This window comes from Homo sapiens, chromosome 12, assembly GCF_000001405.40.
Source record: "Homo sapiens chromosome 12, GRCh38.p14 Primary Assembly".
In the NCBI taxonomy this organism is placed as follows: Eukaryota; Metazoa; Chordata; class Mammalia; order Primates; family Hominidae; genus Homo; species Homo sapiens.
Genome location: NC_000012.12, coordinates 109,332,685 through 109,359,550, shown reverse-complemented (window position 1 = coordinate 109,359,550; position 26,866 = coordinate 109,332,685). Strand labels below are relative to the sequence as shown.

Here is a 26,866-nt window from a genome sequence, read left to right as displayed (position 1 = left end):
CGTTCTTTTCTAATCTGAGAAACTCCAAGGAGGTGGGGCCCGCGAGACACAACAGGCAGGCTAAATTGTGCGGTTAACGGTCAAAGCCCCCCTGCCTACTTTGACACTCATTTAAAGATGACAGGGAACAATAGAGATTTGTTCTGTGCAACCCTTTCTTGTTATGCCGGCGACATCAGCTCCGCACATGAAACTGCCCGATATTTCATTCCACCTGCCACCTCCCTCCCGCCTCGGTCGACTCTCTCCTCTGCTACTTTGCTTGTCCCCACTTTAACACAAAGAGACAGGTAAAGAATATCGTCAAGAAGGGTCCATTCAGCATGTCAGCTTTCATAATACAATTGCCTGTCAGGTTCCCCACGAGCTATGAGGCGCTCAAATGCCTGGGTTTAGGCCAGAAATCCGAACCACGGTTAGGTTAGTGAGCGGGGACAGCTCCCCGGCCACCTCCTGCCCTCCCGTAGCGGAAGGCCATCTCCCGGGCACAGACACCGAAAACCATCTTTGCTAACAAGAGTTTGAAACACTTGCTATACATCAGCGAGGGACCACAGGCCAACTCCTGATGGGCTGGGTGTATATTCCTTGAATGCCTGTGTTTAAAAATTTTACTAAAAACTCATACCCAAAGGCCCAAAACCCTATTGGAAAGGTTGGGAAATATTTATCTTAGAGCCTTTTTTTTTTTTTTTTTTTTTTTTAACACCACAGGATGCTTCCCCCAGAAGTGGTGGAGGAAAAAAAAAAAAAAATCTTAAAGCCTCGCCAGATTATCTGATGTAACTAATCATAAAGGAATATGTACAGACCTAAAACGCTCATGGTATCGCTTTTACTCTGCATACTGCAGAGAACACACTATCTCGTGATGCTTGCAGAATGCACTGAGAGGAAACCAGTGAGTCAGAATAGGAACTGGCTTTCATAAAAAGCCTTTCGAAAACATTGCATGGCAAAATTCTGTTGTATTTTCCCTCAAAGAAAAGAATTAGGACAACAGTCCCGGAGACGAAGTCCACACTTTCATTTTCAACTTACTCTTTATAAAATTACAGTTAGGGAAGCTAAGTAGGTGAGAAGCCCTGTTTTATCTGGAAAATTAGTTAGCCTTGTGGAGATAGCAGGGAAATAGCAGAACCAAAAGAGATCAACTTGATTATACCGTCAAAAAGGGTAGATTATTGTTTCTATTTCTCCCCTAACACGGAATCCTGTGGTTGCCTTATGTCTAAGGCTTAAAAACCAACCAGGACTTCAGGTTTACAGTCTTGTATACCTTTTTACATTTCTAAAAAAATGACTTGTGTCACTGTGTTATTTTTCTTATGACAGCAATCCTGATATTTGCACATTACATTTGCTTCTGGTAATTGTCATGATGCGTTATTGAAAACTGCCTCTGGTCATCGAGCCAAACCTAAGAACATACTAGATATCAGTGGATGCTTAAGTAGAAAGCAATATTCATAATGATGCCAACTGTAGAAACTCAGTGAGTGGTCAAGGAAATTCAAAAAGCAAGAACAGTTTTGCTGCTCTGCATGAAAAATCAGCAAATGATGGCCCATGGCCCCAGTCCAGCCCACCGCCTGTTTTAGAATGACACTTGAGCTAAGAATGGCTTTTACATTTTTAAATGGTTGGGAGAAAAAAATCAAGAGAATAGTATTTCATGGCATGAGAAATGGTTGGGAGAAAAAAAATCAAGAGAATAGTATTTCATGGCATGAGAAATGGTTGGGAGAAAAAAAATCAAGAGAATAGTATTTCATGGCATGAGAAATGGCTGGGAGAAAAAAAATCAAGAGAATAGTATTTCATGGCATGAGAAATGGTTGGGAGAAAAAAAATCAAGAGAATAGTATTTCATGGCATGAGAAATGGTTGGGAGAAAAAAAATCAAGAGAATAGTATTTCATGGCATGAGAAAATTATATGAAATTCAAATTTCAGTATCCATAAATAAAGTTTTATTGGAACACAGACACATTTATGTTTGCCTATGGCTGCTTTTATGCTACAAAGAGGTGAGCCTAAGATACTTACTATCTGGCCCTTTACAGAAAAAGTTTGCCAACCCTGTTCAATGTCCCGTTTAGCACACATCCTTCTTTCCTTAGGAACCATATTTCTGAATCAATGGTATTTTAAAACTGCACACACCAAGAGAAGCAAAGTGGAATTTCAAATATAACCCTTTTCCAATCAATGTTTAATGGTTTGTAATACATCCCTCAAGTTGGGATACTTCTAAATTAAGACCTTTTTTTATTCCCAGCAGCTCTGTGTTCACAGCACCTAACAGTGTTGAAAAAGAATGCTATTTAAAACCCGAGTTGAGACATCACCTTTCCAAACCCATGACTGCTTCCTGGCTCACTAAACACGAACCAGAAATTAATGCTGCAAAGAGCAGGTAGTAGTTTCCTCATAGAACTGAATGCATTTTTGTTCAATGACCAGATGGAGAGGGCTGCTCTCTAGGAAGCCCCTCAGAAGGTGCTGTCCCCAGTTTGGAATAATATTCAGTGGCAGCTAAAATGTAAACCAAACACACATCAAGAAAGAAGCACGGTCTGATGCTTTGATTCAAGGGGTCTTAGCTATGGAATTTATAAGGATCAAATCTGAGAATGATAATATTGCAAGTTTTTATGTGTTTGATTTACCCAACACTGACAGCTCTACAGTTGAAATGAAGGATTATCTTTTTATCTAACAACAAGGGGACTGTTGGTGTTTTATTATCCAGCTGCAGCCTCTTAATCACCACTGAATGCGTATAATTATGAATATCAGCAAACAGAATAGTGCTTCTAAATTACCTTAGAGATTAGTCTCCTAGTAAAAATGAGAGCAGTTCATAGCCTTAAATTGGCCCACGGGAGTTAGAGGTGGAGGGGAAAAAAATGCCATTACATGACCATCTTTTTCAGCATAAATAGAGGGTTAAAAAACATTAAATGCAAAGCCTAGTCTTCTTGCACTACTTCCTACTGATAAATGTTAGAAAAAAAAATTGTTGGAAGTTTATAGCAGTTTTAAATAGAGGATATATATTCTGATCACATTTAAGCTTTCCCAGAGCCCATGAGGTTCTTTGAAGTTGTTTACCTAAAAGAATTTGTAGCTGATCTTGTAAAAAAACAAAAAAAAAACAAAAACAAACAGAAAGGGCTTTTCTTGCCTTAAGGAGAATCCTCCTGGTATCCACAGCTATCTTTCTCTGGAACAAAAGATATTTCATGGTCTGGGAGCCTTGCAAACACTCAGTAGAAATTGGATATTGACAATGGATTATGTTAAAACCTGTTTGGACCATCAAATGCAAATTTTTTTCAGGGTTTTGTTTTTTCATCTCAGTCTGAGTCCCTTGGGTTAGTAAGAAAATTAGTAGACTTCACACAGTAGACAGCTTTCAACATGGCTTTTAAATTATTCATCACCCAAAAAGGGGTGTTTAAATAATATTTGGTTAAAAGTGGTTGTGACTTGAGGTACATTTAGAAACCACTTAAAGCTAAGGCTGTGGCCAGGTGTGGTGGCTCACGCCTGTAATCCGAGCACTTTGAGAGGCCAGGACGGGCAGATCACTTGAGGTCAGGAGTTTAAGATCAGCCTGGCCAACATGATGAAACCCTATCTCTACTAAAAATACCAGAAAAAAAAAAAATTTGCTGGGCGTGGCAGCACACACCTGTAATCCCAGCTACTTGGGAGGCTGAGGCAGGAGTCAGAGGTTGCAGTGAGCCAAGATCAGGCCACTGCACTCCAGCCTGGGTGACAGAGACTTCATCTCCCAAAAAAAAAAAGAAAAAGAAAAACCAAAAAACAAACAAAGAAAAACCAAACCAAACAAAACAAAACAAAAACAAACCAAAAAAACAAAAACCTAAGGCTGTGGTTCTCAAACCTCAGCATGCAGGAATTTTACATGCAGGATGCAAACTTTAGCATCCTGGTGGATCTAGAAAACCCACAAGAGGAGGGCTCAGGAAGCTGCATGCTCGACAGGTATCGTAGATAATTTCTATAAGGGTATATCCCAGGCCCATAGCTATAAGCCCTTAAATTGTGGTCCATGGATGCAGTTCGAGCATCCACAGAACAAAACCTCAGGTCCTGCTTGAGTCAGAATCTGCATTTCAACAAGTTCCCTGAGGTGATTCAGGTGCACTTTGCTGTTTAAATTACATGGGTGTGAATATGACCCAGTCGCACGTTTCCCCAGTGATCTAGGGAAAATTTAAAGATTAAGTTAAGGAAGATTGCACGTAAGGAGAATTGTTATTCCCCTGAAGTCGTGTGAATACAGAAACATTCATATTGAAGACCACCAGAGACAGAAAACTCCACCAAACACTGTGGGGTAGAAAAGGGGGCTCACAGAGGAGGGAGGAAGGAACCAAGACCACCAGGATAGACTTCTGCCAGCTCCGGCTACCAGGAACTCAGGGCCTGTTGACTGTGCGGATGGCAAGGCCAGCTTTTCCTTCTTTTCCCACAACTAGACCTTATTAGAATTTTTCCAACCCCTTTTCCTCCATACCAAATGCAAGTCAGGCTATTTCTCATTTGTAATACTAACCTTGCCAAGGAGGACAGGCCCCCTGTTCTCTTCTCTTCCTTCTGGAGAGTTGGGCCAAAAAGGTCTAATCTCAAATGTGTAAAAGTAAAGGCTAGGCAGACACTGAAACCAAAAAGATACTGCTAGTCCCTAAGATTCCTCTTGTTGAAGAAACATATTTTTTTCTGTCCCAATTTTTAAATAAAAAGCAAAATATACAAGCTCTTTAGCCAGAAACTGGCTATGTTTACTGGAAACATTCATTCCCTAAAGGGCAGACATCTTGGGCACTTATCCTGGGCATGTGGTAACCCGGGAATTGCAGGCTGGGATTTCTTTTCTTTTCTTTTTTTTTTTTTTTTAGACAGAGTCTCGCTCTGTCACCCAGGCTGGAGTGCAGTGGCGTGATCTCGGCTCACTGCAATCTCCACCTCCTGGGTTAAAGCGATTCTCCTGCCTCAGCCTCCTGAGTAGCTCGGACTACAGGCGCGTGCCACCACACTCAGCTAATCTTTTGTATTTTTTCTTTTCTTTTTTTTTTGTAGAGACAAGAGATTCGACTGTGTTAGCCAGGATGGTCTCGATCTCCTGACTTCGTGATCTGCCCGCCTCAGCCTCCCAAAGTGCTGGGATTACAGGCTTGAGCCACTGTGCCTGGCTTCAGGCTGGGATTTTTATAGCTTATTATGGCAAGGGAGGAGACGGAGAGTAAAAGAAGAAGGAAGAGCATACACAGTCACCCCTTGTGTGACAAATATGCAAGAAATAAAGATAAATGTGTACAATTCTTACAATTTTACTTTTCTGAATTTTGCTATTGCACTGAATGATTTGTGATAAGACAGATGGGGATGAAAAATATACTTATTAAATAAACAGCTATTAAAAGCCCCTAAAACTCTTTAAAATGGGATCTTTTTGTTTGATTACAGAAGAATTACACCTTTATTTTAGACATTCTGGAAAAAATGCAACAAAGAGAATAAAAATCATTCATAATCCCACTGCTCAGAAATTACCACTGCTGGCCAGGCGTGGTGGCTAACGCCTGAATCCCAGCAATTTGGGGGCTGAGGCGGGCAGATCACCTGAGGTCAGGAGTTTTGAGAGACCAGCCTGGCCGACATGGTGAAACCCCGTTTCTACTAAAAATAAAAAAAAATTAGCCAAGTGTGGTGGTGGGTGCCTGTAATACCAGCTACTTAGGAGGCTGAGGCAGGAGAAGCACTTGAACCTGGGAGGCGGGGGTTGCAGTGAGCCGAGATGGTGCCACTGCACTCCAGCCTGGGTGACAGAGCAAGACTGCTTATTGTGGAATATTCCTTCTAGTTCTCCCCACCCCTGTGCATGTGTGTGGGTGTATAAATAATACTCGGATAACATTTTATATATTGTTTTAGATCATTTTAAAAATAACGTGATTCATCTTTATAAATTAAGAACGACACACCTAAATATATTTCAAATATCACATCATTTAGATTTGAAACATCTAGAATTACAAGTTTAGGAATCAAAATTCAAGCAACAGTTTATTTCCCGGTAAGTTCTATAACCACAATTTTTTTTTTTTTTTTTTTTTTTTTTGAGACGGAGTCTCGCTCTGTCACCCAGGCTGGAGTGCAATGGCGCAATATCGGCTCACTGCAACCTCCGCCTCCCGGGTTCAAGCGATTTTCCTGCGTCAGCCTCCTGAGTAGCTGGGATTACAGGTGTGTACCACCATACCCGGCTAATTTTTGTCTTTAGTAGTGATGGAGTTTCACCGTGTTGGCCAGGCTGGTCTCAAACTCCTGACCTCAGGTGATCCATCCACTTCGGCCTCCCAAAATGCTGGGATTACAGGCATGAGCCACTGTGCCCAGCCTCACAATAATATTGTTTATGAGTATTTGGGGCAAGTACCCTTGATTATAGTATTAATATTAAGGACTAAAATTATTTTCATCAACAAATGTTACCACTTGAAGACTCTACTAAAACTGGTATTATATTGGGTGGGGGCATGAGAACACCTTTTGAGGTAATAGTGGGGCTGTGTCTCAATAGGGATTTGGGTCACACAGGTATATACCTTCATCAAAACTTACCAAATGAAATATCCAAGGTTAGTGCTTTAGATTGTATATACTATTTACCTCGAAAGAAAAAACACTGAACACGAGCTAATGGCAGGTGTGCAAAGCATTTAGGGGAAGTATGCTGATGTCTGCAACTTTCTTTGAAATCTATCCCCCCAAAATAAGATACATTAGTGGTTACAGGGATAGATAGATGAAAAATAAGCATAAGTAATAGGTTAATGGTAGAATCTAGGTAGTGGGTGTTTTCTGTACAATTTCTTCTTTTCTGTATGTTTAACACACTTCATCATACATGTCGGGGAGAAAAATAATCTGTTAGATCTATGCTAAAAGGCTCAAGAGATGTCTATAACGAGACACGCAAGATGTAGCAAAAGTGTATGTAATAAGGATTCTAGTTTCGTAGAATAAACAATGATGAAAATACATTCATGTATGTATGTGGGTAGCTACCCAAATAGCCCCATATGTTTCTATGACCATGGAGACAATTACATAAAGACCCTGGGGGAAGGAGGTGGAGAGTGGGAGGTGAGAGATGAGGGCTGAATATGCTCATGCACACGAAGAAATGCAAGATGCATGGGCCTCAGCATGCCGTTGTTAGCCAGGGCTGGCAGAATTTCAAATCATTGTCATTTTCTTACAATTTCCTATACCGTTTAAAAGATCCTTTCTACAATGGTCATTTATCATTTATGTAATTAAAAAGCTATTTTTATGGAAAAAAATAAAAGTGGTATTATGAACAGAGCCAGGCTTATGTGACGACAAGGAATCCATTCCCCAAAAGAGAAAAAAGGCTTCATCTTCTGGACTGTATTGAGAGAAACTTCTTGTCCCACTCACTAGTAAAAGTTACATTCTGAAGCAAAGAGAGCAAAGCATATCTTATGGAATCCTGAATGTCTAGAAAATAGCGTGGAAGGGAAAATAGAGTTTCCTTTTCTACATATGACAGCGATGAGTAAAAGCATGCAGTAATTTGAAGCAGCATCTCCAACCACCGTGGAATCTTCCACATTAGATGGTGCTTTTACCAAGCAGAGACTAAATGAAATAATTTTGTGGCATCTGCAAAAACTACTATTAGAAACATTTACTCCAGAATCCGTGTTTTCGGCTTAAGAAGCAAATGATGACACTGGAAATTTGAGTGACTCTAACAGGGACATAAATGTGATTGCAATCATCCTAGCCATGGGGGCTTTCTTCTTATTTTTCAAGTGAACCCAGCAGCTGAACAACCAATCAGCAAATATTTTCTGAGCATCTACTGTGTGCAAGGCATTATAGAAGGTACCTGGTCCCCAGGAATTTACAATCTCTTTAGAAATATAACGCAATTACAGGAGCAGTGAACAAGGCACCAGTTCTGGACACAATGTCTAATCTTTTAGATGGCTTTTAAACAGATACCAATAAAAAGATGGTTAATTAGGAAGTTACCTTAAAATATTGTCATAAGTGTCTGCGGTGAAACTGTGTGATTTGGCTTTTTCCCCCCACGGTTTTGATATAAAATGTTTATTTTGTTAGTCAAAAGATAAGGTAAGATAGTAGAGGCTGATGGGAGGAAAGTGTTCATATTTTTACCTGGCATAAGAGTTTTTACGGTAATAATATAAAAACATCCTGGCCAGGTTTAAATTCAAGCTTTGATGTGAAAATCAGTGATAGTAAGATCAGTTGCAAAATTAAAAATAAAGGTCTCTGAAATAAGATCCAGGAAGCAATTTATCTAACCCAGTTATGTGCTGAACCCAACATATTACTTGTACACCACTTCACCCATCTTCTAGTGAACCTGCCTACTAATGGAACATGAGAATGAGTCTATTCAAGGCTTAATGAGCTTAATTAATTAGCACTTATGACACTCAGGGTAAAAATAATTACTGATGGTGGTTGTTCCATAAATCTACAGATGTAACAAAATGGCATGTAACTGTATATGCACATTGTACCAGCATTATTTGTCCTGGTTTAGATATTGTGCTCTAATTATGTAAGATGTAACGATTGAGGGATATTTGAGACCTCTCTGTATTATTTTTGTTACTTCTTGTGAGTCTATCATTATTTTAAAATAAAAATCTTTTTTAAATTACCTATATCACTTTGATTCTTTGATGTGTTATAAAGTCAGGAAAACATATTTGAACCATGGAAAAGTGCTCATCTGAAACAGTAGAAGCCACCTTCTATAAATATTGAATGAACATGGATATAAGCCATGAGTCTCTTCCTCATTATCTGACAGGGAGCTTTATTAGTTCGTTTTCACGCTGCTAATAAAGACATACTTGAGACTGGGCAATTTACAAAGGAAAGAGGTTCCATGCACTCACAGTTCCACGTGGCTGGGGAGGCCTTACAACCTCGGTGGAAGGTGAAAGCCATGCCTCACATGGCGGCAGAGAAGAGAATGAGAGCCAAGCGAAGGGGGTTTCCCCTTATAAGACCATCAGATCTCATGAGACTTATTCACTACCATGAGAACAGTATGGGGGAAACTGCCCCCATGATTCGATAATCTCCCACCGGGTCCCTCCCACAACACGAGGGAATTATGGGAGCTACAATTCAAGATGAGATTTGGGTGGGGACACAGCCAAACCATATCAGGAGTTTATGGATTCCCTACAACCCAACTAACTTGGAGAGAAGAGGCAACTGCCCAGATGATTTGCATAAAGTGAGCTTTTGAATGAATCACCTGCGAACTAAATATGCTACCATGTGGACAATGACAATCAACGGCACGAAGCAAATGCTCGCTAAAATCAGCATTGTTATTCATGGTGCTTCAGTTCTTCATTTTGCTTTGTTCATCAAACTCAGCTCCTTCTGAGGTCATTTCTGAATGGTTCCATCTCTAATATTTAATATAATATAAAATAATATAATAATAATATTAACTTTTTTTTTTTTTCAAGACAGAGTCTTGCTCTGTCGCCCAGGCTGGAGTGCAGTGGCGTGATCTCCGCTCACTGCAAGCTCTGCCTCCCGGGTTCACGCCATTCTCCTGCCTCAGCCTCCCGAGTAGCTGGGACTATAGGCACCCCCTACCACGCCCGGCTAATTTTTTTGTATTTTTAGTAGAGACGGGGTTTCACCGTGTTAGCCAGGATGGTCTCGATCTCCTGACCTCGTGATCTGCCTGCCTCGGCCTCCCAAAGTGCTGGGATTACAGGCATGAGCCACCGCACCCGGCCTCTTTTTTTTTTTTTTTTTTGAGACAGGGTTTCAGACTGTCATCCAGGCTGAGTGCATGGCATGATCACAGTTCACTGCAGCCTTGATCACCCTAGCTCAAGTGATCCTCCCACTTTAGCCTCTGGAGTAGCTGGGACCACAGGCATGTGCCACCATATCTAGCTACTTTTTAATTTTTTTGGTGGGGGGGTCACACTATGTTGCTCATGCTGGTCTCAAGCTCCTAGTCTCAAGGGATCCTCCCACCTTGGCCTTCCAAAGTGCTAGGATTATAGGCACAAGCCACCATGCCCAGCCCAGTTTGTTCTTTTTTAATCTGGAGTAAACTCTATCCAAATAATGTTTTACCAAAGGAATCTGGGAATTAATTCATAAGAAGGAAGAGCTTCCTCCATTTTTCAAAAAAGTGTAACTATGTATAAGTCAATCTGCATGGTTACTTCTACGTGCATTTTGTAAAGCCATGACAATTTAAAAAAAGGCACATGCGACCTTGAGGACAGACCTATCTGTTGTCTTTCACTGCAAGACCTACAGCAAATACTCCTCTCTGTCCATCAACTAAATTATTTTCTCCCAATGAATCATGCTTCCTAGAGTTACCACTTTGAGATATCATGCAAGAATGGCATCTAAAACCAGGACTTTGTTATGGGCATTCAGATACATTTTCGGTCAAGGACAGTGCCATTTTGAGTTACCAGTTGCCAAGGTGACAGTATTCAGTGCTATAGAAATGGGTAATTGACTGAATGGATCAATGACAAGCTGTAGCTAGGGTTTCTTCATGGTGCCTGAGGCTTCTGTGAACAGCTACGAAATTATTCTAACTACATCCATAAATGTTTCTGTAAGCTTTTTGGCTGTCTAGGCAAGAAAAGAAACAATCCTTCAGCAGATAATGTTTTCTAAACAGAGAACACATGAGATGATTATGCTATCGAAACCCAGAAAACCTGTCCTTGGAAGTCTTTATGCTTAGAATTAACTCCTGGAAAGAGGCAATAGGTTTGACACTCAAGTTCTGTCTTCCATCTTCCCAGGAGAGCTTTACCATTGTCTACCTGATAATAAAAACAGCTGTCTTAGCTTCTTAAAATGATCATTACCTGGGACAAGTTGGGCTTATCGCATTTAAAAGGAAACACAAGGTATCTAGGGTAATGAAGAAAATGTACCAATAGTCTTACATGTAAGGCCAATTATTACCTACAATTTCCTTCAACATGAGGTCACCATCTATTATTTAAGACCCAACCATGCTAACACAGTAGCCACTAGCCACATGTGGCTATTTAAATTAATGAAAATTCAGTCAAATTTACAATTCAGTTCCCCAGGAACCAGCCACAGTTTAACCACTCAGTAGTCACACATAGCCAAGAGCTCTTGCATTAGGCAGTGCTAACAGAGACCATTTCTGTCTTTATTGCACAGCACGCTGTTCTAGACCAATGTGAAATGAATCGGTAACTCTCCCATGCTTTGGTTCTAAATCATCGTACTTGCCCCCAGCAACAGAAGGGAGATATCTACATGATCATCTTAACATAGAATTTTTCATCAAATAAATTCAGAATCTTATTCACACGCCCAGTTCTCTCTCCAGGCCTAGCAGAGGCCCAGCATTATAGCCATTTGGAAAGTTCTTGGTAGAAAAGAGGTCACCAGGTGTAACCACCTTCTAGTGTTCAAGTCACATTACCTTGGATTCCATCACGCACAGAGGGAGAGCAGGTTGTTAACAACTATTCCTCTTGAGCCATTCAAAAGTTGCTTCCCACTGACTTATGATTCTGTGATGCCTGACATCCAGCAACAAGGTATGAGGCGATTCTAGCTTGCGGGGTGGAGCTAAGTTAATAATTTACGGTGGGAGGCAGAAACTGCATCTTATGGCCGTCTACATGTAGGCACACCGGGCTGCTCCAGGGAGATAAGAACTGGAAACCCAACCTCCCTTGAGTTTACGTTACAGACACTGCTGATCTTTGATTAGTTGCTTATGTTCCTGACCAGTCACTGACTATTGAAATAATGGCAGGACCCTCGGTGAGCTATGCTTAAAAAAAAAGAAAAAAAGAAAAAAAAAAGAAAAGAAAATTCTCCCAATCTCTTAGCCTAGGATCCAGCTCCAGGGAACTCCTGCTGGAAGTACCTGTTGGCTCTGTTTGAAAAACTTTACAGCCTTAAATTTCATGGAATCAAGTTGATTGGGTAACTTCAAGGTTTCATAATACGGAGACTCAGGACTTTACTTTCATTTTATTATTATTTTCAGATGCTGAAGTGATGCAGGGGCACTATCATCTCATAAAAAATCACAAGGTTGCTGATATTGGAGGCTGTTCAGTTACAGATGGGTTTACCATGAAGCTCAGAGTTCACCCCTTCCTGGTCTGGGCCTCATCGTATAAAGTTCTATTCTTGTTCTTTCAGACAACCCCACCCATCACCCACCACATTGTATGCCTTGGGCCCCCAAACTTGAGCCTGCTGCTGCAACAGGATCATGGCTAAGGGTATGGACAGTGGATTCAGTGCTGGGTTCATTCGAACCTAAACAGCACCCCCTGTTGGATGGAGGACTGTGGGTCCAGCGACTGACCTCAGGATTTCATTTATTAATCCCATTTCATGTATCTCTCTCTCTGTATATATATCCTATTGGAGAACCCCTAACACAAGCCCTGACAAGAGCAGAAATATGCTAATAATTCTTTGGACACTCTAATTTTTGATCAATTGACTTTTTTAAAGAAATGATTCCATTTTTGTAACTGAATAGGTAATATAACATATCCTTGATTTGGTTACAAAGGGACAACCAGAAATAGTATACTAAAAATGTTTTTTAAAAATATATAATTTTATAGACATATATTTTAGTTTTTAAATATAATTTATTTTTTTCTTGAGATGGAGCCTTGCTCTGTTGCCCAGGCTGGAGCACAATGGCAGGATCTCAGTTCACTGCAACCTCCGCCCCCCAGGTTCAAGTGATTCTCCTGCCTCAGCCTCCTGAGTAGCTGGGATTACAAGGCACCCGCCACAACGCCCAGCTAACTTTTGTATTTTTAGTAGAGATAAGGTTTCACCATGTTGACCAGGCTGGTCTCGAACTCCTGACTTCAAGTGATCCACCTGCCTCAGCCTCCCAAAGTGCTGGAATTACAGGTGTGGGCCATCGCGCCTGGCCTATATGATTCTTCATACATTTTTGCATATCTGAAATATATTTTTAATTGAAATATAAATCACGTATAACATTCACTTATTTATACAGTTCATTGTTTTTTAAGTACAGTTGTACCTCAGTATCTGTGGGGGATTGGTTCCAGGACCTTCAAAAATCCATGGATGCTCAATTGCCTGATATAAAATGGCATAGTATTTGCATATAACCTATGCACATCCTCCTGTACACTTTAAATCATTGTCAGATTACTTATAATACCTAGTAGAATGTAAATGCCATGTAAATAGTTGTTATACTACATTGTCTAGGCAACAATGACAAAAAAGTGTCTGTACATCTTCATACAGATGAAAATTTTTCCCTGAATACTTTTGATCCAAGGTTGGTTGAATTCATGGAATTGGAACCCATAAATATGGAGGGACTATTATAGATTCACAATGTTGTGCAATCATCATCACTATTTAATTCAAGAACATTTTCATGACCCCCAAAAGAAATCCTATATCCATTATCTATGATCTCCCTTTTCCCCACCCTAGCACCTTGAAACCACTAATCTGCTGTCTCTATACATTTGGCCTATCATGGACATTTCATATGAACACAGTCATACAATATGTGACCTTTCATGACTGGCTTCTTTCACTTAGCATTGTGTCTTCAAGTTTCATCCATGTTTTAGCATGAACCAGTACACTTCATTTTTATTGCCACATAATGCCTCTGGTATGGATATACCACATTTTGTTTATCCATCAGTTGATGCACATTTGGGTTTTTTCCACTTTTTGGCTATTGCAAATAATGCTATCAACATTCAGGTGCAAATTTTTGTGTGGACTTGTTTTCATTTCTCTTGGGTATATACCTAGGAGTGGAATTGCTGGGTTACGTGTTAACTCTATGTTTAACTTTTTAAGGACCTGCCAAACTGTTTTCTAAACTGGCCACATCATTTTACATTCCCACCAAGAATGTATGAGGTTTCCATTTTCTCCGAATTCTTGCCAACACCTGTTATTGTTGTTCACCTTTTTTATTCTAGCCAAGCTAGTTGATGTGCAGTGGTATCTCATTGTGGTTTTGATTTACATTTCACTGATGACTAACGATGCTAAGCATCTTTTCATGTGTATTTGCCATTTCTATACCTTTTTTGGAGAACTGTCTATGCAAATCCTTCGCCCATTTTCAAGATGGGTTCTTTGTCTTTTTGTTGTTGAGTTGTAGAAGCTCCTTATATATTCTGGATACTAGAACTTTATCTGACACTGTATATGATTTGCAAATATTTTCTCATTCTGTAGGTTGTCTTTTCACTTTCTTGATAGTATCCTTTGAAACACAAAAGACTTAAACTTTGATGAAGCCTAATTTATCTATTTTTTTACCTTTGGTTTCTTGTGTTTTAAGTATAATGTCTAAGAAACCATTGCATAATTCAAGGTCACAAAGATGTACACCTGTGTTTTCTTCTAATAGTTTTATAGTTAATTCATTTTGAGTAAGTTTTTGTGTATTATGTGAAGGAGACATCTAACTTTATAACATTGCATGTGGCATGTCGCTCCAGCATCATTTGTTGAAAAATTATTCTTTCCCCCATTGAGTCATCTTGGCTCCCTTGTCGAAAATCAATTGACCATAAACATAGTAGTTTACACCTGAACTTTTAATTCTATTCCATTGATCTACATGTCTGTCTTTATGGCCGTACCTCACAGTCTTTGTAGCTTTGTAGTCAGTTTTAAAATCAGGAAATGTAAAACATCCAATTTCATTTCCCTTTTTAAAGATAGTTTTGGCCATTCTGGGTCCCTTGCATTTCCAAAAATTTTAGAGTTAGTCTATCAATTTCTGCAAATAAGCCAGATAGTATTTTGATAGGGATGGCATTGAATATGTAGGTCAATTTGGGGAGTATTGACATTCTAATGATATTAAGTCTTCCAATCTGTGAGCATAGGATATCTTTCCATTTATTTAGGTCTTCTTCAATTTCTTTCAATGACACTTTATAGTTTTCAGCGTTCAAGTCTTACACTTCTTTTGCTAACTTTATTCCTAAGTATTTTATTCTTCTTGATGTTTTTGTAAGATTTATTTCATTTTCAGATTGTTCATTGCCAGCATACAAAAATATAGTTGACTTTTGTGTATTGATCTTGTATCCTGCAACCTTGCTGAAATCACTTATTAGCTGTAACAGTTTTCTTGGTGTCATATTTTTGAGTTTAAAAAGAGGTCAGGTCAACATCAACTGTTATATCATGTGGATAGTATGTGCCCTTAATGTGATGTGATGAAAATAACACCCTGCCTCTGTGGTCTTCCCAATAACCCCTAACACCAATATAATGATGAGAAAAATATCAGACAAATTTAAATATTGGGGCAACCTACAAAATGCCTGCTTTGTACTCCTCAAAATTGTCAAGGTCATCCTTAACAAGGAAAGTCTGAGAAACTGTCACAGCCAAGAGAAGCCAAAGGAGACATGATGACTAAATGGAATGTACCTTGTATGGGATCATGGAATAGAAAAAGGACATCAGGTAAAAACTAAAGAAATAGCTTATGCAATACACCTAGTGCAATGCCTTGTACATTGTGCAATGAACAGAAGTCCCCAGCGAGTCAGCTAGGACAGAGACTAGCTCCCATCCCACTCCTGTTTCCCAGACTCCCTCTTGAAAAGTGACCACTTCAATAACGTCTTCTATGTTCTTTCAGTCATTCCATTCATCAATATGTATAAGTACATGTATTGCTTAAAACACATGCAAGTGGGAGCATGTAATATACACACACTTAGTCCTTGCTTTTGAATTTTTTCCTTACTCTCTCATTGTGATCGTTCGATTCTGTTAAAGTATCTCCAGTGGCATATGGGTTGGGGGTTGGGGATAGCAGGAATACCTAGGTGTCTGTAGAAAATTTACAAATAATAATAAAACAATTAAGTCAGCCTGCTTTTTATTATCACCAAAAATTAGCAATTCTAAGCAATGTCAGTGATAAAAATATTCCTCCCTAAAAAGAATTTTTTTGTTGACCCAAGTATTAAATGATTGCTGTGGTTTCTGTTGAGTTATAATAATGGACATAGAAAATTCACATGATTTCGTTTTGTTGATTATCCCTTAAATTGCATTCTACACAGAAGTTTATCTGGAGAATTTCTAGTTATGCTAACATCCCCTGGCACATACAAACTTACCTATGTGTGTTCACTTTCTGAGCAAGATCTTATCAAATTCACATTGTTTGAGCTTACTTCAGGCACTATTTGTGTTTCTAGTCCCTGTGATACTACATATTTTCGACTTTATACACTAGACTAGAAATAAATCATGATAGCTAAATGCAATTTTTTTTCTTTTTCAGAGTTAATTTTTGCTTATGTTATTATTATTTTTTAAAGAGATGGGATCTTGCTTTGTGGCTCAGACTGGTCTTGAACTCCTGGCTTCAAGTGATCCTCCCCACCTTGGCCTCCCAACGTGCTGGGATAACAAGTATGAGCCATTGTGCCTGGCCCTTATGTGATGTTTTAAATGAGGTTAATCAGTCATAAAAATATTTGGGAAGAGGCAGAATTAGCCTAACCACCAAGCTTTGAAATTATCTCTGGGCCAGGTACAGTGGCTCACACCTATAATCTCAGCACTTTCAGAGGCCGAGGTGGGAGGATCACTTGAAGCCAGGAGTTCGAGACCAGCATGGGCAACACAGAGAGGCCCTGTCTCTACAAAAAATTTAAAAATTAGCCAGACATGGTGGTGTGCACCTGTGGTCCCAAATACTTGGAAGGCTGAGGTGGGAGGATCACTTGAACACAGGAGATCAAGGCTGCAGTGAGCCATGTTCACACCACTGCACTCCAGCCTGTGTGACAGAGCATGACGCTGTCTCAAAAAAAAAAAAAAAAAAAGTCTCCTGAAGATGCTCACACAGAAATTGTACAGAAAACCATAAACCACGCAACAGAAAAATAAAAGAAAATGAATATATACATTAAAAAAAATCAGGACTGGATGCAGTGGCTCATGCCTGTAATCCCAACACTTCGGGAGGCCAAGGTGGGCAGATCACTTGAGGTCAGGAGTTCAAGACCAGCCTGGACAACATGGTGAAACCCCATCTCTACTAAAAATACAAAAATTAGCTGAGCGTGGTGGCGCATGCCTGTAGTCCTAGCTACTTGGGAGGCTGAGGCAGGAGAACTGCTTGAACCCAGGAGGTGGAGGTTGCAGTGAGCCAAGAGAGTGCCACTGCACTCCAGCCTGGGTGACAGAGTCATCCAGATGGAGATTTTTTGAGACTCTGTCTCAAAAAAAAAAAAAAAAGAATCAAATTTTAAAGCAGTGTGGCAGAAAAACAACAAAACATACTGATTTTACTGAAAGAAATGAAATAAATATTTAAATGCTTTGATCATTTCTGAAACATGTTCTGAAACAAAGAACAAAATAATATTAATGCCATGAAAGACTGAACATACAGATTATCAATGACCAGGCCATATATAAAACCTGAAATCTGACCCACAGCCTGCAGCAGCCTACCCAGAAAGCCAGCCTGTTTTCTACAGTAACCAGTCCAGGAAGCCAGCAGACTACACATCACACTTGTAAGAAATCAGACCACTAACTCTAGTAATAACCCAGGGAGTCAAACAATAAGCCTTAGAACAATCAGCCCAAGGTAGCCAGTACTTGATTCATCACTGACAACTTCCTTAAGTTTTATCCCTGCTTTCTACTTAGGACCAACTAGAGTAGCCCAAATATGCACCCCTAACCCATCACAGAGGATGCTCTGCTTCTGGCTAGCCCACCTGCTGCTTTCTCCCGCAAACAGCCTCCAATCAGGGCAAACCTGAAGTCATCCTCCTCTTCCCCAATATGAAACTTTCCTACTCTTCTGCCTGCCATTGAGTCTCTGCCACAAATGCATGTGATGGTGGCTGACTCCCTTGCTATAGCAAACTCTGAATATTTGCTTATTTTCATTTTGTTGGTCTTCATTTATTTCCACGATTGCTATCGTTCAGCCATTTTATCTGATTTTTTGCAGAAATTCTTAGCAAATATAATAGAAATGTATGATGAATTCTGTAGTGAAGTGGAAAATTTTCAACAATGGAGGCATGTGAAAACTGCAAGAATTAATCTGAAGAAACAGACATAGACAATATTACCATTTCTGGAATGTGCTGTGAAAAGGATTTTTTTTTTTTTTTTGAGATGGAACGCTGAAATCTGGCTTTTTTTTTTTTTTTTTCGAGATGGAGTCTCGCTCTGTCACCCAGGCTAGAGTGCAAGTGGCACAATCTTGGCTCACTGCAACCTCCGCCTCCCAGATTCAAGCAATTCTCCTGCCTCAGCCTCCTGAGTAGCTGGGATTACAGGTGCCCGCCACCACATATGGCTAATTTTTTGTATTTTTGGTAGAGATGGAATTTTGCCACGTTGTCCAGGCTGGTCTCGAACTCCTGACCTCAAGTGATCTGCCCACCTCAGCCTCCCAAAGTGCGGGGATTACTGGCATGAGCCACTGAGCCTGGCCATGAAAAGGAATTTTTATGAATCTCTACCAACCTTATCCTTAAGACTTTCCCCAACCATTTATATATCTCTTGCTTTCTATCTATTGAACATGCATATGCAAAAAGGATCAATATTGATAAAAATCATAGACAGATTTGCCGGAGTTGAAAACAGAAACTAATGACAAATATGTAGAATAACCTTCTAATCTTTTGTCAAAAAATACATGAATGTAATTTAAAAAGACTAATCCATTACTACTTCTCCCATTTTGTACTGCAATATTTAATTTTGAATTTGTTTCTTTTACTGTATGATTTTATATATCCAAAGTTCAATGAAATATCTCACTGTCTCTACTTCTTTTCTGGCTATTAGTGTTACTTGTTTCATTTCATGACTATTGCTGAAAATAATTTTGTTGTAGAGAACAGGGGGGTGTTAAAAATGACCTCTTGCTAGGCACCTGGCTCATGCCTGTAATCTCAGCAGTTTGGGAGGCCAAGGCAGGTGGATCACCTAAGGTCAGGAGTTCGAGACCAGCCTGGCCAACATGGTGAAACCCTATCTCTATTAAAAATACAAAAATTAGCCGGGCGCCTGTAATCCCAGCTACTCGGGAGGCTGAGGCAGGAGAATCGCTTGAACCGGGATTGCAGAGGTTGCAGTGAGCTGAGAATCATGCCACTCACTGCACTCCAGCCTGGGCAACAGAGCAAGATTCCATCTAAAATAAATAAATTAAAAAAATGAACTCTTACAGGTGTGTGATACTGTAGGTATGCCACCGTATTGCCTAATGTACTTTTAAATGGATATTGTATGGATTCTCCATAGAAGATTGAACTAGGTCCCAGAGGTTAGTGTTTAAATTGTTTCAAGTTTTGCTATTAATACTATAAACAATGCTGTAATCTGACTCTAAGACATACATATATGGAAAACAGTAGGATATGGAGTTCCTATAAGTTGAATTACTGAGTCGAGGTTTACATGACATTTATTATTTTGCTAAACACTGTCATAATGCCTTACATCAAAGATGAATGAATTGACATTCCCAGCAGTGCACAAAGATACTTGTCTTCTATACTCTGGCTATCACTTTGTATTATCAAGTTTTGATTGTTGCCTATTTCAGGATTTTCATAATGGTAAGGAAGGCTGATCCTCTTTTCCTATGCTTCAAAGCCATCTGAATTTATCTTTAAGGCTTCCTCTCCCTGCTTTTGTCTTCTCTCTTCTTCCCAACATTTTTGGATTGTTGGTCCTTTTCTAATTTATTTGCAAGAGCTCTTTATATCTTAAGGCAATTAGTCGTTTGTCATGTGCTGCAAATAATCATCTCAGTTTGTTTCTTGCCCTTCAACATTATTTAGGATTTTTCAAAATTTGTTTTCAATTTGTACATAAATTTTGTCAGAAGTTTTTTCTTAATGGTTTCTAGGTTAGAATTTTGTTCATCAAGGACTCTGCCACTCCAAATATTCTCTGTAGTCTTTTAAGCATAACAATAGCTTAAAAGTGGAAATGTTAACTTATTTTTATTTTTTTGAGGAGTAGGCTCGCTCTGTTGCCCAGGCTGCAGTGCAGTGCAATGGTGCTATCTTGGCTCATTGCAACCTCCACCTTCCGCATTCAAGCAATTCTCCTGCCTCAGTCTCCTGCACAGCTGGGATTACAGGTGCCTGCCACCACTTCTGGCTAATTTTTGTAATTTTAGTAGAGACAGTGTTTCACCATGTTGGCCAGGCTGGTCTCCAACTCCTGATCTCAAGTGATCCACCCACTTTGGCCTCCCAAAGTGCTGGGATTACAGGCATGAGCCACTGCACCTGGCCGGAAATGTTAATTTTTTAATGAGAAGCACTTCTTTCCTCCTGAAAATTTACATATGAAGCAATACAGTGTTATGAACAAACTATTCTCTTATGGAAAAATATAAAGATTTTGAAAACCTCCTGTAAGCTTGAGCATCGTAACAGGAACCCTATTGCTTCCCAGCAAAAGGACAAGACTTTATCAATTCACTTCAAGAAATAAGGGCAGGATGTAGGGTCAGAGGCCTAAGAATTCTGGAAACTAACAAGATGGGTGTGAAGCAGAAAATGAAGCAGAAAGCAAGGAAAATGATTTTTTTTTTTTTTTTTTTTTTTTTGAGATGGAGTCTTGCTCTGTCACCCAGGCTGGAGTGCAGTGGCACAATCTCAGCTCGCTGCAACCTCCACCTCCGATTCAAGTGATTCTCCTGCTTCAGCCTCCCGAGTAGCTGGGATAAGAGGCGCGTGCCATCACACCTGGCTGATTTTTGTATTTTTAGTAGAGACAAGGTTTCACCATGTTGGCCAGGCTGCTCTCTAACTCCTGACCTCAAGTGATCTGCCCTTCTTGGCCCTCCAAAGTGCTGGGATTACAGGTGTGAGCCACCATGCCTGGCCAGAAAATTAACTTTAGATGTGATCAAGACACCCAAGAGAGGTCAGACTGGAAATGTGACCTTGGAGAGACAGGGGTGGTCAGAAGCCAGCCCTCAGACGTCTGTTTTTGCCCTGTGAGTTGCCATCCATTCAAGCTACACAGTTTTAGTTGAAAGAGAAATACTGGGCCTATGGCTTTTTTCTAGGTTGTTAAAGTACAATGCTTGAAAGTGTCTCGTCTGATGAGGGGTTGGTATTCTAAATGGTTTTAAAGGCTGAGTGCAGTGGCTCACACTTATATTCCCAACACTTTGGGAGGTCAAAGCAGGAGGATCGCTTGAGCTCAGGAGTTCAAGGCTGCAGTGAGCCATAATGGCGCCACCACACTCCAGCCTGGGCAACAGAACAAGACCGTCTCGAAAACGAAAAATCCATCAAATAAATGATTTGAAGCATTTGGGAGACATTTCCCCTTTTTTTTCTTAGCTTTCCAGTTTCTGATACAGACAACCCCTAAACTAAACCCTTGCTGAAGTCTGGGGAGCTTTTTGTACCTATGTAGAGATCCACATATACATTCACAAAGATCTCAGAAAATCGTTGCCAAACATCCCAACTGTCTACTGAGTTGGAAAATTCACGGTTTGATCAGCTAGGTTTGTGCATATTGTACTACCCTCAGATTAAAACTTCTGTGATCACAAATGAGTACATAACAGGTTTCACTCCTCCCAAAAGCAGGGTTCCAGAAGTCAAACCCCTATGATATGGTTTGGCTGTGTCCCCACCCAAATCTCATCTTGAATTGTAGCTCCCATAATCCCCACGTGTGATGGGAGGGACCCTGTGGGAGGTAATTGAATCATGGGGGCAGGTCTTTCCCATGCTGTTCTTGTGATAGTGAATAAGTCTCACTAGATCTGATGGTTTTATAAAGCGGAGTTCCCCTGCACATGATCTCTTGCCTGCTGCCATGTATGACGTGTCTTGCTTCCCCTTCAGTTTCCACCCCTATTGTGAGGCCTCCCCAGCCATGTGGAACTGTGAGTCAATTAAACCTCTTTTCTTTATAAATTACCCAGCCTTGCATTATGTCTTTATTAGCAGCATGAGAACAGACTAACACATCCTATCGAGGTGGGATTCACATTTATCACTGATAGCTCTCTGCATGGTTCCCCGGGAGTGGGCATGCCATTACTACAGTTATGGTCTTCCTCATATTTGAATTATAAGAATATATGAAGCTAATATCTTTCAAATGTTTCAATTCTTTGAGAGTAGAAAGGGGAAAAAAACCTCTCTGGAAATCACAGGAAAAAATGCTTTCAGGTTTCTTAACCCCTGGAAGCAAAAATGGACATGAAAAGTTACAATGTATCATAGTCATTGTCATTTATCTCTGTGCTTCCTTCCTTCCCTCCAACGACTGTGTTCCAGCTGGAAGGTAGAAGAGAGGTTCTAGAAGTGTCTTAGTTTTGGGATGGGGTAGTGGGTTCCTGTTTTTTTCTGCCCATCAGCCTCCCTCCTTCTAGTAAGTGTGTTTTCCTTTGCCTTGACTCCAGGCCTCCAACTCCATGTTTGGCCCATGTTAGACAACTCCATGCTTCAAAGAAGCACCATGACCCAGAGCACTCTATCACCTATGACAATGGCAATTGGTTCGGGAATGGGCATGTGACCCAGGCTTGGTCAGAGTTCTGCACCATCTCTGACCATAGTAATTGGTGGGGGACTGGGCATGTGACCCAGGCCTGGCCAATCAGAGTTCTGTATCACCTCTTAACCAGAGTGGATTGTTCAGGAATTAACTAACTAACTAGAGCCTCAAGGCACTCTGACAACAGTTCATTCTGGATTTTTTCTTTTAATGTCTGAGAGAGAAAAGTCCTTATTTTTTTCTACTGAAATTGCTAAACTGTTGGTACTTAGCCTATAGTACGTGGAGACCACCTTAAGGAGAGAATCTGCCTAAGAATAACCACCAAGGGAAAAACAGAGCTGAGAGAGAGCACAAGACCAAGTGCTGATGTCAGTATTGAACCCCGTGATCCAGCCAAGTGTTTTCAGAAGTGCAGTCTAATACTCAAGCCAGTTTGAGTTGAACTTTTTTCTTTTTCTTCTCTCTCTCCCCTAACATTCTAAATGAATACAGACATGATTGCAGAAGATGTGGTGTTAACAGGGGTTAGAAGGCAATGAAGTTGTCAAGGTGGATTGAAAAGTGAGGAAGAAGGAATGGGCTAAATAGGGAAAGGTCTATGACTGGAGGAGAGTCTTAGGGCTTGGGAAGAACAAGGAGAAGTAGAAATAAGAGACCTGAGAGACAACATCAAGGGACAGCAAAATGGATTCATATAAGAGTCAGGGAACATTGACTGCTGTGTCACTTGAAGGTTTTAAAAATTAAGAGGATTGGGATTGCTTGAGCCCAGGGGTTTGAGGATGCAGTGAGCCATGATTGTGCCACTGCACTTCAGCCTGGGCAACAGAGCAAGACTCTGTCACAAAAAAAAGAAAAAGGAGAGGATTGAAGATGAAAGGATGATGTGCTTAGAAAATCTAATGGAAACCATGCAAAAGTCCCTAGAATTAATGAGAAAACTCAGCAAAGTGGCTGAATATAAGACAAACACATTTTTTAAATTGCCTATTGATTTATTAACAGAAAATGGGAAGAAAATGTCATCTACATAGCCAATAAAATATCTGGCACTAATATTGGAAAGAAATGCATAGGAGCCTTATAAAGAAAACTATAAAACTTTACTAAGAGAGATAAAAGATGGCTTCAGCATTCCTGGTGAAGAGACTGAATATTATAAAAAATGTCAATCATCCCCCAAATAATTTTACATATATTTAATGCAATTCCAATTCACAGGTCAATGCATTTTTGAAAACTGGCAAAATATTAGTTTTTTTTTTGTTTGTTTGTTTTTTACAAAAGAAGAAACAGATTGTAATAGCTAAAAATAAAGAGTATGATTGACGGGGGATAGGGTTTGAACTGGTGTCCCCACCCAAATTTCATGTTGAAATGTAATCCCCAATGCTGGGGGTGGGGCCTGGTGGGAGATGGTTGAATCATGGGAGCAATTTCTTATAGTTTAACAACATCCCCCTTGGTGCTGTCATCACGATAGTTCTCACGAGCTCTAGTTGTTTCAAAGTATATGGCACCCCCCCACACCTGCTCCCTGCTCTGGCCATGTGAAGCACTAGTTTCCCCTTTGCCTTCTGCCATGACTGTAAGTTCCCTGAGGCCTCCCCAGAAACATCAATATTCACAGCAGCATTATTCATAATAGCCCCAAATCAGAAACCACTCAGATTTTCATCAACTGACAAATGGATAAATAAAATGTGACATATTATTATAATAGACTATTATACAGCCATGAAAAGGAGCGAAGTATCGCTACATGCTACAACATGGATGAACTTTAAAGATATTATGCTAAAGAAGCCACTTATATAAAATTTCCAGAATAAACAAATCCATGGAAACAAAAATCTGTAGAGACAGAATAGATTACTTGGTTGCCAGGGACTGAGGGGAAAAGGGAGAGACTGCTAATGGGTACAGGGTTTCTTTTTGGGGGAAGAGAAATGTTCTCAAATAGTGGTGACAGTTCATAACTTTGTGAATATACTAAAACCTACTACCCTTTTACAACCTATTGTACATTTTAAAAGGGCAAGTTTTATGGTATGTGAATTCTCTCTCAATAAAGCTTTTATTTTAAAAGCAACACAAATAACAAGCCAGAAGAAAAAACTGATCACAGAACTAATAGGAATGCTAAATATAAGAAGAGGGAAAATATCTGTAAGTAAAACAAAGGCTTCGAGATACATAGACAAGAAAAATACCCTGCTAAAAAGGAGAAGGAAACTTGAGCTTGTGAGAAGTGTACTAGCTTTAGCAGGCAATTTCAATGGATCTGGTCCTGGCTTTCCTAGATGCTTAACCTTTTTGAGCCTTATTTTCTCATCTACAACAATGTGGATAATAATATCTATTTCCTTGCTGGGCCTGGTGCCTCACACCTGTAATCCCAGCTATTTGAGAGGCTGAGGCAGGAGGACTGCATGAGGCCAGGAGTTCAAGACCAGCCTGAGCAACATAGCAAGACCCCTGTCAATCAACCAACCAACATGTAAATAAGTAAACAAATAAGTAGGGCTGGGCACGGTGGCTCATGCCTGTAATGCCAGTCACTTTGGGAGACTGGGGCAGGGAGATCACCTGAGGTCAGGAGTTTGAGACCAGCCTGGCCAACACGGCAAAACCCCATCTCTACTTAAAAAATACAAAAATTAGCTGGGCGTGGTAGTGTATGCCTGTAATCCCAGCTACTCAGGAGGCTGAGGTAGGAGAATCGCTTGAACCCAGGAGGTGGAGGTTGCAGTGAGCCGAGATTGCATCACTGTACTCCGGCCTGGGCGACAAAGTGAGACTCTGTCTCAAAAAAAAAGTAAACAAATAAGTAAATAATGAGTACATAAACAAGTAAATAAGCAAATAAATAATAAGTAAATATATAAGTAATAAATAAAATTTAAAATAAACAAACTAACTAAATAAAATGAATCAATGAAATTTCCCTGGGTTGGTAGGAGGGTTCATGAGGTGACTTCTACAGGTGCCCCTTAACAATGGGGTTACATCCTGATAAACCCATCATAACCTGAAAACATTCTAAGTCCAAAGTGCATTTTCCACTTGATATTTTCAATTTAGGATGGATTCATCCAGATGTACCCGCATCATAAATTGACGAGCATGCTTGGGTGTGTATTGCTTTTGCGTCATTGTAAAGTCAGACGATCCTAAGTTGAAGGATCGCAAGTCAGGAACCATCTGTCTCCAGGCCCTGGCACACACTTAGGACCCCTCCTCATGCTGGCCACAGTCACGTGTTCCTGTGTGCTTCTGGTTGCAGTCTCAGTTCATCTCTTAGAGACAAATAAGGCAGCAGGGACTAGACTGAAAAGGCAAAGATGGAGAGAGAAAGAACCTTAGAGGAGACTGGTGCCTATGGAGAAGGAGAGAAAACCAGCAAATGCACAAACAAGCAAGAGAAGGCAATGGATGATCCATGCACCATGAGTCCTCAGAGAGGACACGATGCAACATAAGCTCCCTCAGGCCTCTAGGTAACATCTGAACTTTTTTTTTTGAGACAGAGTTTCACTCCTGTCTCCAAGGCTAGAGTGCGATGGTGCGGTCTCAGCTCACTGCAACCTCTGCCTCCCAGGTTCAAGGGATTCTCCTGCCTCAACCTCCCATGTAGCTGGGATTACAGGCACCTGCCACCACGCCTGGCTAATTTTTGTATTTTTAAAAGAAACGGGGTTTCACCATGTTGGCCAGGCTGGTCTCAAACTCCTGACCTCAGGTGATCCACCCACCTCAGCCTCCCAAAGTGCTGGGATTACAGGTGTGAGCCATGGCACCCGGCGTTTTTACATTGTTTTTTAAATGAACAAGTCCAAAGAAAACCTTCATAGAATTGCGGTCATAATACAAATTATGTCGACCTGCATATAAAACCTGGCACCAAATTTGGCCTTTGGGGAACATTTGTGTAGAAAAATGTGCATTAAGATCTGCACCAGGCTGGGCACGGTGGCTCACGCCTGTAATCCTAGCACCTTGGGAAGAAAGGCAGGAGGACTGCTTAAGCCCCAGACTTTGAGACCAGTTTTGGGCAACATAGTGAGACCCCCATCTCTACAATAAAAATTTTTAATTATTAGCCAGCTATGGTGGCATGTGCCTGTAGTCTCAGCTACTCAGGAAGCTGAGGCAAGAG

General features: G+C 40.4%; 1 protein-coding gene and 1 long non-coding RNA gene across 3 annotated transcripts in view, besides 1 other annotated feature; one reads left to right on the top strand and one right to left on the bottom strand.

Annotated features, from left to right (window-relative positions):
• The window catches only part of MYO1H (myosin IH), a 137,912-nt gene that overhangs the window by 88,829 nt on the left and 22,217 nt on the right, over positions 1-26,866 (bottom strand). Inside the window, exon 1 of one of the 2 annotated variants that reach the window (NM_001101421.4) lies at positions 11,579-11,651. The exons of the other annotated variant lie outside the window; for it this stretch is intronic. Coding sequence (NP_001094891.4) covers positions 11,579-11,590 — 12 coding nt within the window. The 5' untranslated portion in view covers positions 11,591-11,651. Of the gene's footprint in view, positions 1-11,578; positions 11,652-26,866 lie in introns of those variants that run through there. 2 annotated transcript variants of the gene reach the window in all.
• LINC01486 (long intergenic non-protein coding RNA 1486) lies at positions 63-5,364 on the top strand. Its single transcript, NR_120462.1, has 3 exons — positions 63-290; positions 2,285-2,419; positions 5,116-5,364. It is a non-coding gene; the product is annotated as a long intergenic non-protein coding RNA 1486 (long non-coding RNA).
• Positions 948-1,107: an enhancer, noted in NCBI's record as "active region_6985". NCBI's record gives its function as "activates an Ori minimal core promoter by ATAC-STARR-seq in GM12878 lymphoblastoid cells {active_cell/tissue: GM12878}" and the evidence as "EXISTENCE:reporter gene assay evidence [ECO:0000049][PMID:35858748]".